General features: G+C 36.5%; 1 long non-coding RNA gene across 2 annotated transcripts in view; it reads left to right on the forward strand.

Annotated features, from left to right (window-relative positions):
* The first annotated feature begins 662 nt into the window (after nucleotides 1–662).
* LOC105377979 (uncharacterized) overlaps nucleotides 663–12775 on the forward strand; it is a 288164-nt gene continuing 276051 nt past the window's right edge. For both annotated transcript variants that reach the window (XR_942936.3, XR_942937.4), the window contains exon 1: nucleotides 663–899. This is a non-coding gene — a long non-coding RNA (uncharacterized LOC105377979). The remainder of the gene's footprint in view (nucleotides 900–12775) is intronic.

Genomic DNA, 12775 nt, shown 5'->3' on the forward strand with positions numbered 1-12775 from the left:
CGATATGAAAGTCAGCAATTCAGTACTAAATGGGTGTTACAAGCAATATGCACAGCATAAAAGTGTGCAGAGGAGAAACTACCATGGGTAGTTGGGATATTGGGAAGGCTTCATGAAAACTGCAGAACTCCAGCTGGACTGTGAAGGATGGAGTGGATACAAAATGATAGGAGTGAGGAAGATATTTATTTGAGGGAGAATTGAAAATAGGTAGCAATGACGGAAATACTTAAAATCATTCTCCTTTGTGCAAATCTCCCGGCCCAAAACCCCTGAACCTCCCCCTACCCAAAATACAACCAAATAAATGTCCTCACCTATACCCAATTTCAATATGGCTGTGTAGGAATTTTATATGGGAGAGAAGTAGGGCATTGGAACTGGAACAGTAAGTTGGAACCATATCATGAAGGGTCTGAAATGCAAGAATAAATATTCAGACTCCTAGAGAACTTTGAAGACTAAACTGAATGGAAATTTGCAGTAATATCCCCTAGGGAACTCATAATACATTTCCGATTATGGGAGTGCAGAAATAAGAAGTTTAGTATCAACTCTGGCTCTCCTTCCCTGCTAGGGCTAAATGTTAATATTATCCAAGGATGTTTCCAAGTGAATCTCTGCCAGTTCTCTCTTTCCAAGTCACATCTCAGAGTCTCTTCACTTGAATCAAGCTACTCCCAGCTTCTGCACACATCTGGTCCAACACTACTTTGGGATATGTTTTGCTAAGGTTGCTGTTCTGCCTGGAAGGCCCTCATTCCTCAGCTGCATGACCCGAGGTTTCCTTCCTCTAAGACCTTGCTAGCGGCTCCTAGATGCCTTCCAAACCAAATTCTCTTCTATGAGATCAGCTCTTAGCTTTGTATTCCCTGGCACTTATGGAGTATGTTATGGAGGTATGTTATTTTGGCCTTGCTTATGCTGTCTATTTGTTGTCTGTGTGTTACTCTTGTCTTCCTTGGACAGTCAAAGACCTTGTCTCCAGTTTTTTCGTATTCTTCAGTGTAATTAGTGTAATGCTTTGAAGATAAGAAAAGAATATAAAGAAATGCCCTTAAACTTAGCTTTGTTTCACAGCATTAGGCTATGTTATATTTGGTTGAGGATAACAATAATAGCTAACAATACTGTGTCGAATTGAACTATCATTTATAATTTTTTGGATCTGATTAAAAAATAAGATTTTAAAAAAGTTCTGCATCTAAAATGTCATTGTGGTTTGGCAAAAATCTTTTTGTTGTTGTTATTATGAATCTTATCTTAACAATCCTATCTTGGAAAATCTAATGGAAACTTCACTGAGTCTTATCGGGGACATTTATAACTCCTTACAATTTATTTTCTATCTTTAGTTTAAGACAAACAAAAAAGTTATGCATTTTTTTTTTATCTGTAGCCTCTTTAGAAAGAAGTAAGTTGCAAAGCCTAGGTGTTTTAGTAATCAGTTTTCCTGATATCCCGTTTAATTAATGTTTGCCTTCTGTAAAATTTTAAAGCCTAATATCCCTAGAAGGCCCCTTCAAAGTGCAACTTGTACCCTAATAAAACTCCAATCATCCTACAAATGAAAATTTAAAGTGGTACTAGAGTTGATCTCCATGCTCTCAGTCTCTCCTCTTTCCAGGATAGTCCTTCTTTTCCTTCCTTTTAGCACATTTATTAATAAGTTCATGAAAGGGTTTCAAAAAAATTTTTAAGTATAATGAAGGAGAGATCTCCACTTAGTGTTAGCTTGGTTAGGTAAGTGGCTAGAAAGATGTTAATACTTGATTATCTGTATTTAAGGACATTTGCACTTTTGAACCTGAGAGAGTATTTTTATTATAAGTATGTTTACAATTTTTTTATTTTACTTTTATAAAACTATAAAATTCTAGAGTCAGAAAGGGGCCTCCTACATAATCTACATAATCTCCTACATAATCTCCTACATAATCATTTTAAAGAATAAAGATAAACTAATAGACTCATCTAGAGAGATTCAGCCAGTTAGCTTCAGAGCTAAAAGTGGCATTTTCTTTATTAAAACACACAGAGACACACAAGCACACACACATACATGCTGACTAAACTTCTACCACAACCCAGGCCAGTATGAGCCCTAGGGTTACAATATTTTTATGATATGCCTGGCTCTGCAAACTTACAAGGAGTGGGGGAAGATTATATATATATAAGATTTTATATATATACACACACACACACACACACACACACACACACACCTATATAAACGATCAATTATACAGTATAAATTTTTATAATAAATCCATGTGAAAAGTGGTATGGGAATTGAGAAGGGATTTAAGGGAAGTCTTTAGAGAAACAGTTATCTCTAAAGGCTTAGTTCAACCGAGAATCTTCTAAACTGAGAGTAAGAAGACATCAGAAATTGAGGGCATCAAAAACAGAAGAAATAACATGAATGAAAGCTATGGAGGTATTAAAAGCTGCATAGCTCATTCAAGGAATGGTCACAAGTTTCATCTACTAATGGGTTGGAGAGGGACGTGAAGGAGAAGAAAGTGGCATAAAACGATGAGGAAAAGGTAAGTTAGAGCTGGCTTTTGGGTGACTTTGTTCACTATGCAGCCGCTTTCAAATTTTGTACTTTAGAGACATTGAAATTTTTTAAATAACATGATCAGCGTATCAAAAAGGTGAATTGTGAGCATATGGAGCATGGATTAGAGGGAATATGTTATAGAGATAGTTCATGTGAGAAATGAGCAGAATCTCAACTACGACAGTGTCAGAAGAACTAGAGGACAAGTGATAGGTTCAAACCTTTCAGATGCAAGGTCAATAAGTGTCAATGACTGAATAGATTTAGAAGGTGAGAGAAAACCTGAAATTAGCTTCACATTGGATCAACAGGTACCATAAAAAAGATATGAAACTTGGAGGAACTCATTTCAATATTTTGTATATTAAGCCACATTGACAATGGTTACTTCACTAATTTTTTAAAAACTTAGCTAAAAGTTGTCTTCTTTGATATAGGTTTTGTCTAATACAAGTTTTCTTAAGGATAATATTTACACTCGTTTTATATTTTAGTAGTAAAAATTAAATTGAAATTTCAATGTTTAACAATAAATACGAACAAACAGGAATTTTCAATGTATTATGTAATTAGTTTTTGAAAGATCAGATTTCAAAAGAGACTAAGAATTATAAATCTGTAGGTTTATGAATGTTTGAACTTCAGAGGGACATTTTGAGAAACTTGATGTCTTCTTTATTCATATATTTGCATACATACATAAAAATGAGTTATATATATTCATACATGTGTATATAATTTATTTATATGTATGTTATTTAGGACTTATAAGACTTGGAATGTGTCAAGAATTTTTCAAAATGGTTTCCAAATATTGGCTTATTTGTTCTGTATAATAATAAGATAGTATTATTATTACCCTCAGTTTATAATTATGGAAATTGAGGTGCAGTTTCGGAAGCTTAACCAAAGTGACATAGCTAGTAAGTGTCAGAGTCTGACTTTGAATCCTAATGGCCTGGCTCTAGAGTCCTTGATGAGTTTTTTTTTTTTTAACGTAAGAAACTATCATTTGCCATTGCTCTTGTATATGAATATTCAGGTACAGAGCGAATCAACCTTTAATAGTTTGGTTGCTTAAAAACTCTATGTATAAAAGGGAAACTAACATAAAGGTTAGACAAAACTTTGAACAAGAATGTGTTGGATCAATACATTATTCAGTAAATTGATAAGAGAAACATAGTTTGATAATTGAATCTGTAATACAGTTATGGGTCTTTGATGACTCAATACTTCATAGACTGACAAAAGAATATTTATCTACATGTGCAATTTTTAAATTTCATTTCTATAAAAAAGAATGAGAGCAGGCACAGAACTTATAGGTATTATTTAGCATTTGGAAATTAAAGTTTGCCACATACATAAAAATACTTAGGTTTGATAAAGACAAGTTAGTAACATTTTGATATTAAAAATAATTTATTTAGAAATAAAATCTGCAATTGTTAAAGTATCTTTTTCCCCCCAGGAAATAATCCACTTAGACTTTGAGGAGTTAATGGCAGGAGGAAGGTAAAGGGAGTATATCTTTAGTGGGTTGTGTTAGGAAATAAAAAGGGCTGTAATAATAACTATACTCTTTCCTTTCAGCTATTATGGCCTCTTGAAAGTTGCCATCTACACTTGGGGTTCTTACATAGTCTTATTTTATTCAGGCTGCTTTTCCTGACTGTTCTAAACAGTCCTGCTGCTTGAAAGCCTCTCTCTCATTAGACTCTAATGGGAGCATCTCAGGAAATACATGAAACTCATACTAAAAGGGCATTAAATAGATGAATGAACACAGTGCTTATGTCTTTAACCTAGGTCATTTGGAATCAGATTCTGGGCTGTTCGCATTATACTATGGCTCATTCATGGATGACTCATATTAAAGAACTGTCATGATTCTCATTTCTGCTACCCCGTATTGATTAAGTTTCAGAGGTTCATCTGAGAAAAATGACTCAGGGCATGAGAGGACAAAGGTATTCATTCCAGGTATAGATCTAGCTGGGGAAGGTATTTTAGTGAACTTGGAAAAATGCTTGAATGCATTGCAATATATTCCATTACAGGGGGATGAAGACTGTATCTGGTCAGGTTGGTCAGGTATTTACATAAAATTTTCCTTCCTCTAAAATTTTATCCCCTCCCCTGCAAATAACACAAACACATTCACTGACTGTGTTCTATTTATTGCATTGCAAAGATCTGGGATAATACATATACATTCTTCTCAATTTTTATGAAGAAAAAAATCTTGAGCTGCTTCTTAGTATGGGGTAAGAGTCCCACCACCTATATTCTAACCTTCAATTCAACACTAATTAGCCCGATAATCTTTTTTTTTTTTTGAGACAAAGTCTCATTCTGTCACCCAGGCTGGAGTGTAATGGCATGATCTCGGCTCACTGCAGCCTCCGGCTCCTGGGTTCAAGCGATTCTCCTGCCCCAGCCTCCCAAGTAGCTGGGATTACGGGTGCACGCCACCACACCCGGCTAATTTTTGTATTTTTAGTAGAGACGGGGTTTTACCATGTTGGTCAGGTTGGTCTTGAACTCCTGACCTTGTGATCTGCCCACCTCGGCCTCCCAAAGTGCTGGGATTACAGGCGTGAGCCAACGCGCCTGGCCATTAGCCAGATAATCTTGATGAAAATTCCCTACTCTCCTGTTTCTTATCTACAAAAAGATATAATACTATGTCTCCTGCTCCCCAAGATGATTATAATCATTAAAGGATGTAGTCAACACATATTCCAAGAACGTCTTGGTTTTTCTGAGTTGCTCTGTCCTCTTGATTCTGCTAACTGATGAAGAAAAAACTGAAAGTGAGAAATGGAAAGAGAAAATGAAATTTGTGTTTGTGGGCTATGTGGTGCCTGTTTTTTACATTTAAAAGATAATGTATTAGTGATGTATTTAGCTTTTCACACTGATTTTTTTTTTCTCATAATGAATTGGGCCAGCTAATTCAAATTGTGAAACTTATCCATCATAATAGATCAAGTTTGTTCCTAGAATATTGAACTGGGGTTATCTTTCATTGACTCTGCAGGAAGCATTATGACATAGTTTCTAGAGGTATAAAACAAGTGAAAGATAACAATGGCAACATAACAGATGCTAGAATAATACCATTTATGAAAGGGCTTTCGCAACCTTTACCTTGCTGAATCCACACAACTATCCTGGGAGGTAGGGGTCATTATTATTTCCATTCCATAAACAGGGAAACGGGCCAAGACAGATAAACTTCCTCAGCATCACACAGCGAGGAAGGGACAGCTGTGACTTTGACCTAGGTCATTTGGAATCATATACTGGGCTCTTCCCACTATACTACATTTCATTCTGCCCAAAACAATTCTTTTTAGTTAAAACAAAAGAGATGTCATCAATTTTTTTTTTCCTGTTGGTTCCCAGGCCCAGAACTGAAGCTGTTAACAATGAGATAGCCATCTCAGGGAGGATAAAACTTGTAGGTAATAACAGAATGGATAACATTTCCAGAGCACTTATTTCATGCCAGATATTGGTATAAGGACTTTGCACATTTTAATTATTTTAATGCTTATACAAAACTTGAACCCCAATATATTATATTCCTCTTCCCATCCCATAGGCATGCAAATTAAATAACTCACTTATTCCTCTGCAATGAGTTAGTTGAACATCTGAATTTGAACCTAGGGAGCCTGGCTTCAGAGCTCCTAGCATAATCACTTGCACTTAGCCTCTCCCACAAGCCTGCATCAGTTACATTCTGGGGGCATCCTGGCCTTACAGTACAGGGAAAAGGCCAGACCGTCAGACAGAGTAGGCACAAGGAGACTAGGGAGAAAGAAATTGTCCATTGACCAATGTTGAAAGGTGAGAGGGGAAAAGAGAGGTTTAGCAAGGCAGAATAGGTTAATCTTTTCATGATAAACTGTTGGCATCAGGTAGGAAGCTTTGCTGCTTGGCTAGGCACAGGACATGATTCTATTTCCTAAAAACTCTGGGCCAGAACCAGGTAGTACACAATCCCAGAGATACAAAGGAATCAAGTGGTGGGTCTCACTTGACTAGACCACGGTGGAGTAAGCCAGGGACCTGATTGTTGGAAGGGAAATGAAAGGTCGTATCTTACAAGCAAACAAACAAAAACAAAACAGTGCAAGAGCCTATGTACTGGCCCTAGGGCACCAAATCATAATAGGATGATCAGCATGCAGCACAGGTTTGTACCTCAGAACCCCTGAGTGAGACAGAGGCTGCCACAATCAAGGAGATTGGTCTCTAAGAATAGTGTGTGCTCTATCTCAATACAATAAATCCAGATAAAAAGATAAAGATAGCTACTCTTTGAACTTTTGGTTCCCAGTTTGCAATAGTACCCTTCCCATTTAATTTGTAAAGAATAAAATGAGTCATCATCAATATTATTGAAAGAAAGGGCTTCTTAAATTAGTAGGGATTAATTTACTAGGAATAAAGTTGAATTTATTCAAAGGCAAGGATCAGCAAGGACGTGGTGGGAGAAATAGCTACAGCTATTAGATTAAGTGTCTAAGACTCTTTCTGATGTTACCTCCCCTAGGACATTTTGCTGAATCCCCCATGGCTGATTTTATGAACTCTGACTGCAATAACTTTGCATTCTAGGCACACTTACTGCTTTGCACCATAATTAGTTTTTGCTCTTCTTATCCATTTTAGGACTTTGGTTGACGATTGAGTTATTCACAATTAGTTCGTGTCACATAATCATCAGTGGTCTACAAAGACCCCACACACATTTTATTTATCTATCTATCTATCTATCTATCTATCTATCTATCTATCTATCTATCTAATTCATTTTTTCAACAGTCTGTACTCCCACGTCCCTCCACATCATAGGCTGTCATTTTAACGTGTTTCCATGTATCCTTTAATTTGTTTGCTAAATGGGCATCATTGCTTTGTGTGAATGTATTTTAATTTATATGTATGGTATTGTTATAGATTATTTTGTTTCTTCCTTTTAAGCTTGCTCAGCGCTATGTGTTTTAAAGGTATATCTGTTATTTTGTTACATCTAGTTCTTTGCTTCTAACTGTGGCAAAGCATCCCACAGTGTGCTTCCACACTGAGACCTATATTGCCTGCAACTTATTGCTGACTTCAAAAGGGCTGAGCTGAACATCTTGGTGTATGGACCCCGGAGAGCTTAGTGAGAATTCCTCTTACATAAATACCAGAAGACAGATTGCTCATTCATTGCAATTTGATTTCCTATCCGCTCTCCAGAACGATGTGCTTTTCAATTCATGTGTTTGTCTAGACTATACATTTCTTGAAGGCAGGCAAAATTGTCTTATTTCTTATAATATTATGTCTGCATTGTGGAGGAAGTGGTTACTGCATATTTATTGAATACACAAATGGGACCAGATAGTCTAGTTTTTTAAATTTCTAAAGGCAACTAGCATGGTGGTTTATAAATGAAATCCATATTGCACAGTTTGCCTACAAGGAGAGTCCTCTTTCAGTTTACCAGTGAGGGAAAAGGAAACACACACACACACACACACACACACACACACACACACACACACACACACACTATTTAAAAGCTGCCAGAGCTTAGGGACTCTGTCCTGTCTTTGAACTGCTGTTTCCACACAGGAGTGGAAGTGCTTTCTATTATTCTAGTAAAAAGGACATGCTCTGTGGGGCTTCCCATAATTGTTCCAAGAGCCAACAAACTGGATTTCCAATACCACTTCTCCCAGAAATCAACAATGTTTCCTCTCTCACTCTACCTTCCGGTTAAAAAAAAAAAAAAAAGTTCCTGTTTGTGATGAACAGGGGTCAGATTTCTCCGTGGGAATGATCGTAAAGAATTAACATCCTTCTCCAGACAATGTCACAGTGTCACGGAGCACGTTTTACCTTCCCCGTAGGGCCCCCACGTGGAATGGGAACAGCCTGGGATATCCATCAGGGGATGACAGACTTATGGCACCATCACAGGTCAATGCCAGACCAATTAGAAGATGAACATTGGGGTCTATTTAAAATAAAATGATACAGGTTCCTGATATGAAATCAAGGCTGCAGGTGTTAGTAAGTAGCATGATTGCTTAAAACAGTACTTAAGTATTACAAAGCATTAGTCTAAGATCTAAAACAATCTAGTTAATAAATATATGTATTTTTTTCAATTATCCATGCCTAGGAAAAACTAGACAAGAATCAAAATCATAAAATCAATCATTCAGTGTGATGTCTATTTTTTAAATTTCCTACCATGTTTTCATCTTATATAATATTGAAAATTTAACTTTTTATTCAGTGTACAAAATATTTTACCTGAAGCAGAAAGAGAAAATGTTTAATAATAAAGTGGCAGTATAAAATGTAGCATCAATAACTGACCATTTTCATTTCATACTGTGAGCTTGAGAGCACCTCGGAAATGAAAAACCTATATTCCAGAAGTGGCCTTTGTCAAAAGGCAAAGTGGTCTTAGACTTTGTGCCTCTGCACAGGCCTTCTGCATCTGTAAAGAAAGGAGGATATACTGGACAATATAAACTGCATTCTTTTGGATTTGATAAAGTCCTGGAAATTTCACTAAATCTTACTTGTTTCCTATCAGAGGGATTGGGTCAAACCAAACATCTGACCAAGAATTTTGCATTAGTTCCAAAATTACAGCGATTTCCAGGAAAGCTCAGTGAAGGATAAGGAGTTTTAGTTTTCTCAACGTCAGCAGGTTATATTTTCCAAGAAAAGTATTATAACACATAGCAAAAATAAAAATAAATGTGGAGAATCCTCTACAGTGATGGGCACAATTAAATTACAAACAAAGGACAGCTTTCCCAAAATGTATGGTCATATTCTTTACAAACATCCCTTAATGAGAACTGGCTGACCACCTGATCAAAATGACCTTTAACAAGAAATACCTCAAAGATGTCAACTGACACATCATTAATCTCTGAAGTTATGATTAGTCATCACATATTATTTGGTAGTGGTATTAGAGGGAAGTGCATCAATATTAATAACAATGGCTAATGCTTACTGAGTGGTCGCTGCAGTGTACGCAAAATTCTAGGTTGTTTGTATATATATTGATTCATTTAATCCTCACAAAAACTATGAAATGGCTGGTAATATATTTATTTTAGAGATGAAGAATATGAGGCATAGTAAAGATAAGGAATATGTTCAGAGTTTACAGCTAATAGGGAATGGAGCTGGAAGTCAACTCAGTCCTCTAGCTTCAGAGTCCATGCTCTTTTTCATAATGGCATAATAAATACATCTCAAAAAGGGCTTTAAATTTTGAAGAATTCCCCTTCCTTCTTTCTTCCCCATCTTCCTATCCCCAAACTCTACCCTTTCTTTCAGCAAGTGTAATTTAAACACCAGTAAGTGCTAGATAATTCTACATATTGAGAATTCTAAGGTAAATCAAATAAGATCCCTAATCATCAAAGTGTTCACTACTCAGTAGGATAAATAGATTCAACTGCAAGTTAAGATGATACATTATAATAATAACTACAATGGAAAAGCCCAGTTGGCCCAAGAAGCCTGGGAAAGAGATTCCAGAGACAATACTTAACCTGTCTTTGAAGAATGATTACCAGGTGTAGATTGAAGGGATAAGTCATTGTCAATAGGAGAGGCAGTGTGTGTAGAGTCCTAGAAGTTCACATTTAAAGGCACTTCTCTGGAGTAGCAAATACTTTAATGTGACTTCAGTGCACAAACCTGAAAACTGAGAATATATAAATGACAGCTATGCACTCTGTAGATGTGTGGTTTCTCCTTGGTCACATAACAATCATCACCTTGCAATATTTTTAAATTGTGTGTTCCTTTACAATTTAGATGATAAATATGCTGTGAAGAAATCAATTCTGCTCACTATTCAAATCCATTGTTTGCCAACACTCACATTCACCTTTGTGGTTCTCATGATAACTCGTGAATATTACCATTACTGTCATTTTACAGCGCAGCACCTGGAAGCTCAAAGAGATAAGATGGCTTGGCGAAATTGACATTAACACCAAATAGTGGCATCAATGTTTTAACTCCTGATTCAGTTCTGTTGCCCAACACCAAAATCTGTGGCTGGATCATTGCTTTTAACCATAAGTTACCAAAACACTAAGGTAGGCAGAGCAGAAAAACAACAGGATTGTGTCTCTAATGCATCAATAAGTCATTGTACCAGATTTATATGATTTGCAGATTTCTTGATATTTAACAAGAATAAATTTGTTTAAAAATAAATAAATAAAATACAAAGTATCCGGTCAATTAAAAGTGAGATATCACTTCATTTGATGTCTTGCTTTAATTTTCTGCAGTAATGGCACTTTTTATTCTGACAGTTCTCTGCCAAAATATTTTTATTAGCTAGCTATATATTTTTAAACACCTTTCTTTATTTTTATTTTTATTTTTGAGACAGGGTCTCACTTTGTTATCCAGGCTGGAGTGCGGTGGTAGAATCATTGCTCACTGCAGTCTTGACCTCCTGGGCTCCAGTTATCTTTCCACCTCAGCATCCAAGTAGCTGAGACCACAGGAGCATGTCAACATGCTTGGCTAAGTTTTATTTATTTTTTTGGTAGAGACAAGACAGGGTCTCACTATGTTGGACAGACTGGTCTCAAACTCTTGGGGTCAAGTGATCCTCCTGCCTCGGCTTCCCAAAATTCTGGGATTACAGGTGTTGCGCCTGGCCAAAAAATCTTTCTTTAGAAAAAATAAAAGGCAATGCAAGGGGAATGTCAGTTGGGAGATGTTTTAGTCAGCTTGGGCTGCCGTAACAAAATACCGCAGACTGAGTAGTTTAAACAGTAGAGATTTATTTCCCAGTTCTGGGGTCTGGAAAGTCCAAGATTAATACAGTAGGGTAGGTTTCATTCTGAGGCTTTTTCTCTTAGCTTTTAGGCAACTGCCATCTTGTAGGGTGCTCACATAACCTCTTCTTTGTACATAGATGGGAAGAGAGTGAGAGAGGTTCACTCTCTCTTTATAAGGGCACTAATCCCATTATGAGGGGCCCATCCTCATAACCCCATTAAAATCTAATTACCTCCCAAGAGCTGCAGTCTTCAAATACCTCCACATCAGGGGTTAAGGCTTCAACAAGAATTTTGAGAGGACATTTTTCAGTCCATAATAAGAGACAATTTTTCTTGAGTCTTTTGCATTTTTGCATGTTTTTATAAGCAGTGGCACTGACAGCTTTTTTTCCAGACTATCCTTTCAAAGGTGTTGCTAAAGCAAACAGCTTTAGAAGACAGATAATGTCTGCCTTTGGAGAAAAGGGCAGTTTTGTTTTTTGTGCAGTTTAATAAAGATAATGTCTCTCTCTGAGACAAGATTAAGCAGATTTGCTTGCAGTCCATTATAAAGGACTGAGGTTTCCTAAACTTGAGATTTCTCTTCTGTAATACAATCCACTGCATGTGCATGTGTTACAGCCTTTGCTTTGTCACTCTCTGGGAATTAGGAGTAAAGAAATTAGTGAAATAAAATGCTGATATCTTGACTACTGCTACTGCTGTGAGCAATAAACTGTCTTTTCTCTCACTCAGGTCTCATTTCTTTCGCCAGCACATCTACATCTATGGCAACCTAATTTGTAGTTTGCAAGTAGGGTAAAATCTCAGACCTTTCACAGTTCTTGACAATATCTAAACCACAAAACAAACAAAAAATACAAAATAAACCAGAAAACTATGTGTGATCAGGCAATAAAACTTTACATATGAATTTATAAATAACCCCTAGGCTAAAATAAAGTATGGTATTGGTACTGCATTACATATTTTAATGTTCCTATTGTTATTATATCCAAGGCTTTCATGTAACATTACAGTCATAATATCTCAAAATAGTCCAGAGTCATGCCAATTTATTCAAGAAGGCCTCATTGTAAGGAGGACAACTTCTCATCCATGGAAATAGCTTGAGTATCAAGAAAATGCTTCACAGATTTTTAACGCAAACTAATTCAATGAAGCAGTAGGTATTAATTGATTGAACAATTCCTTTATTGAATAAAGTCCATTTATCAGATACATCTAGACTGCTGACAGCTGTGGTGCGCTCCTCTGGCAACTGTAGACTACCGAAACATAAAGGACAGGGAAAGTCCCTGTGGGAAGGAACCTAACATCTCATCTGGAAGAGAGCAAGCAGTAAGCAAATCAA

This window comes from Homo sapiens, chromosome 6 (genome assembly GCF_000001405.40).
Source record: "Homo sapiens chromosome 6, GRCh38.p14 Primary Assembly".
Classification (NCBI taxonomy): domain Eukaryota; kingdom Metazoa; phylum Chordata; class Mammalia; order Primates; family Hominidae; genus Homo; species Homo sapiens.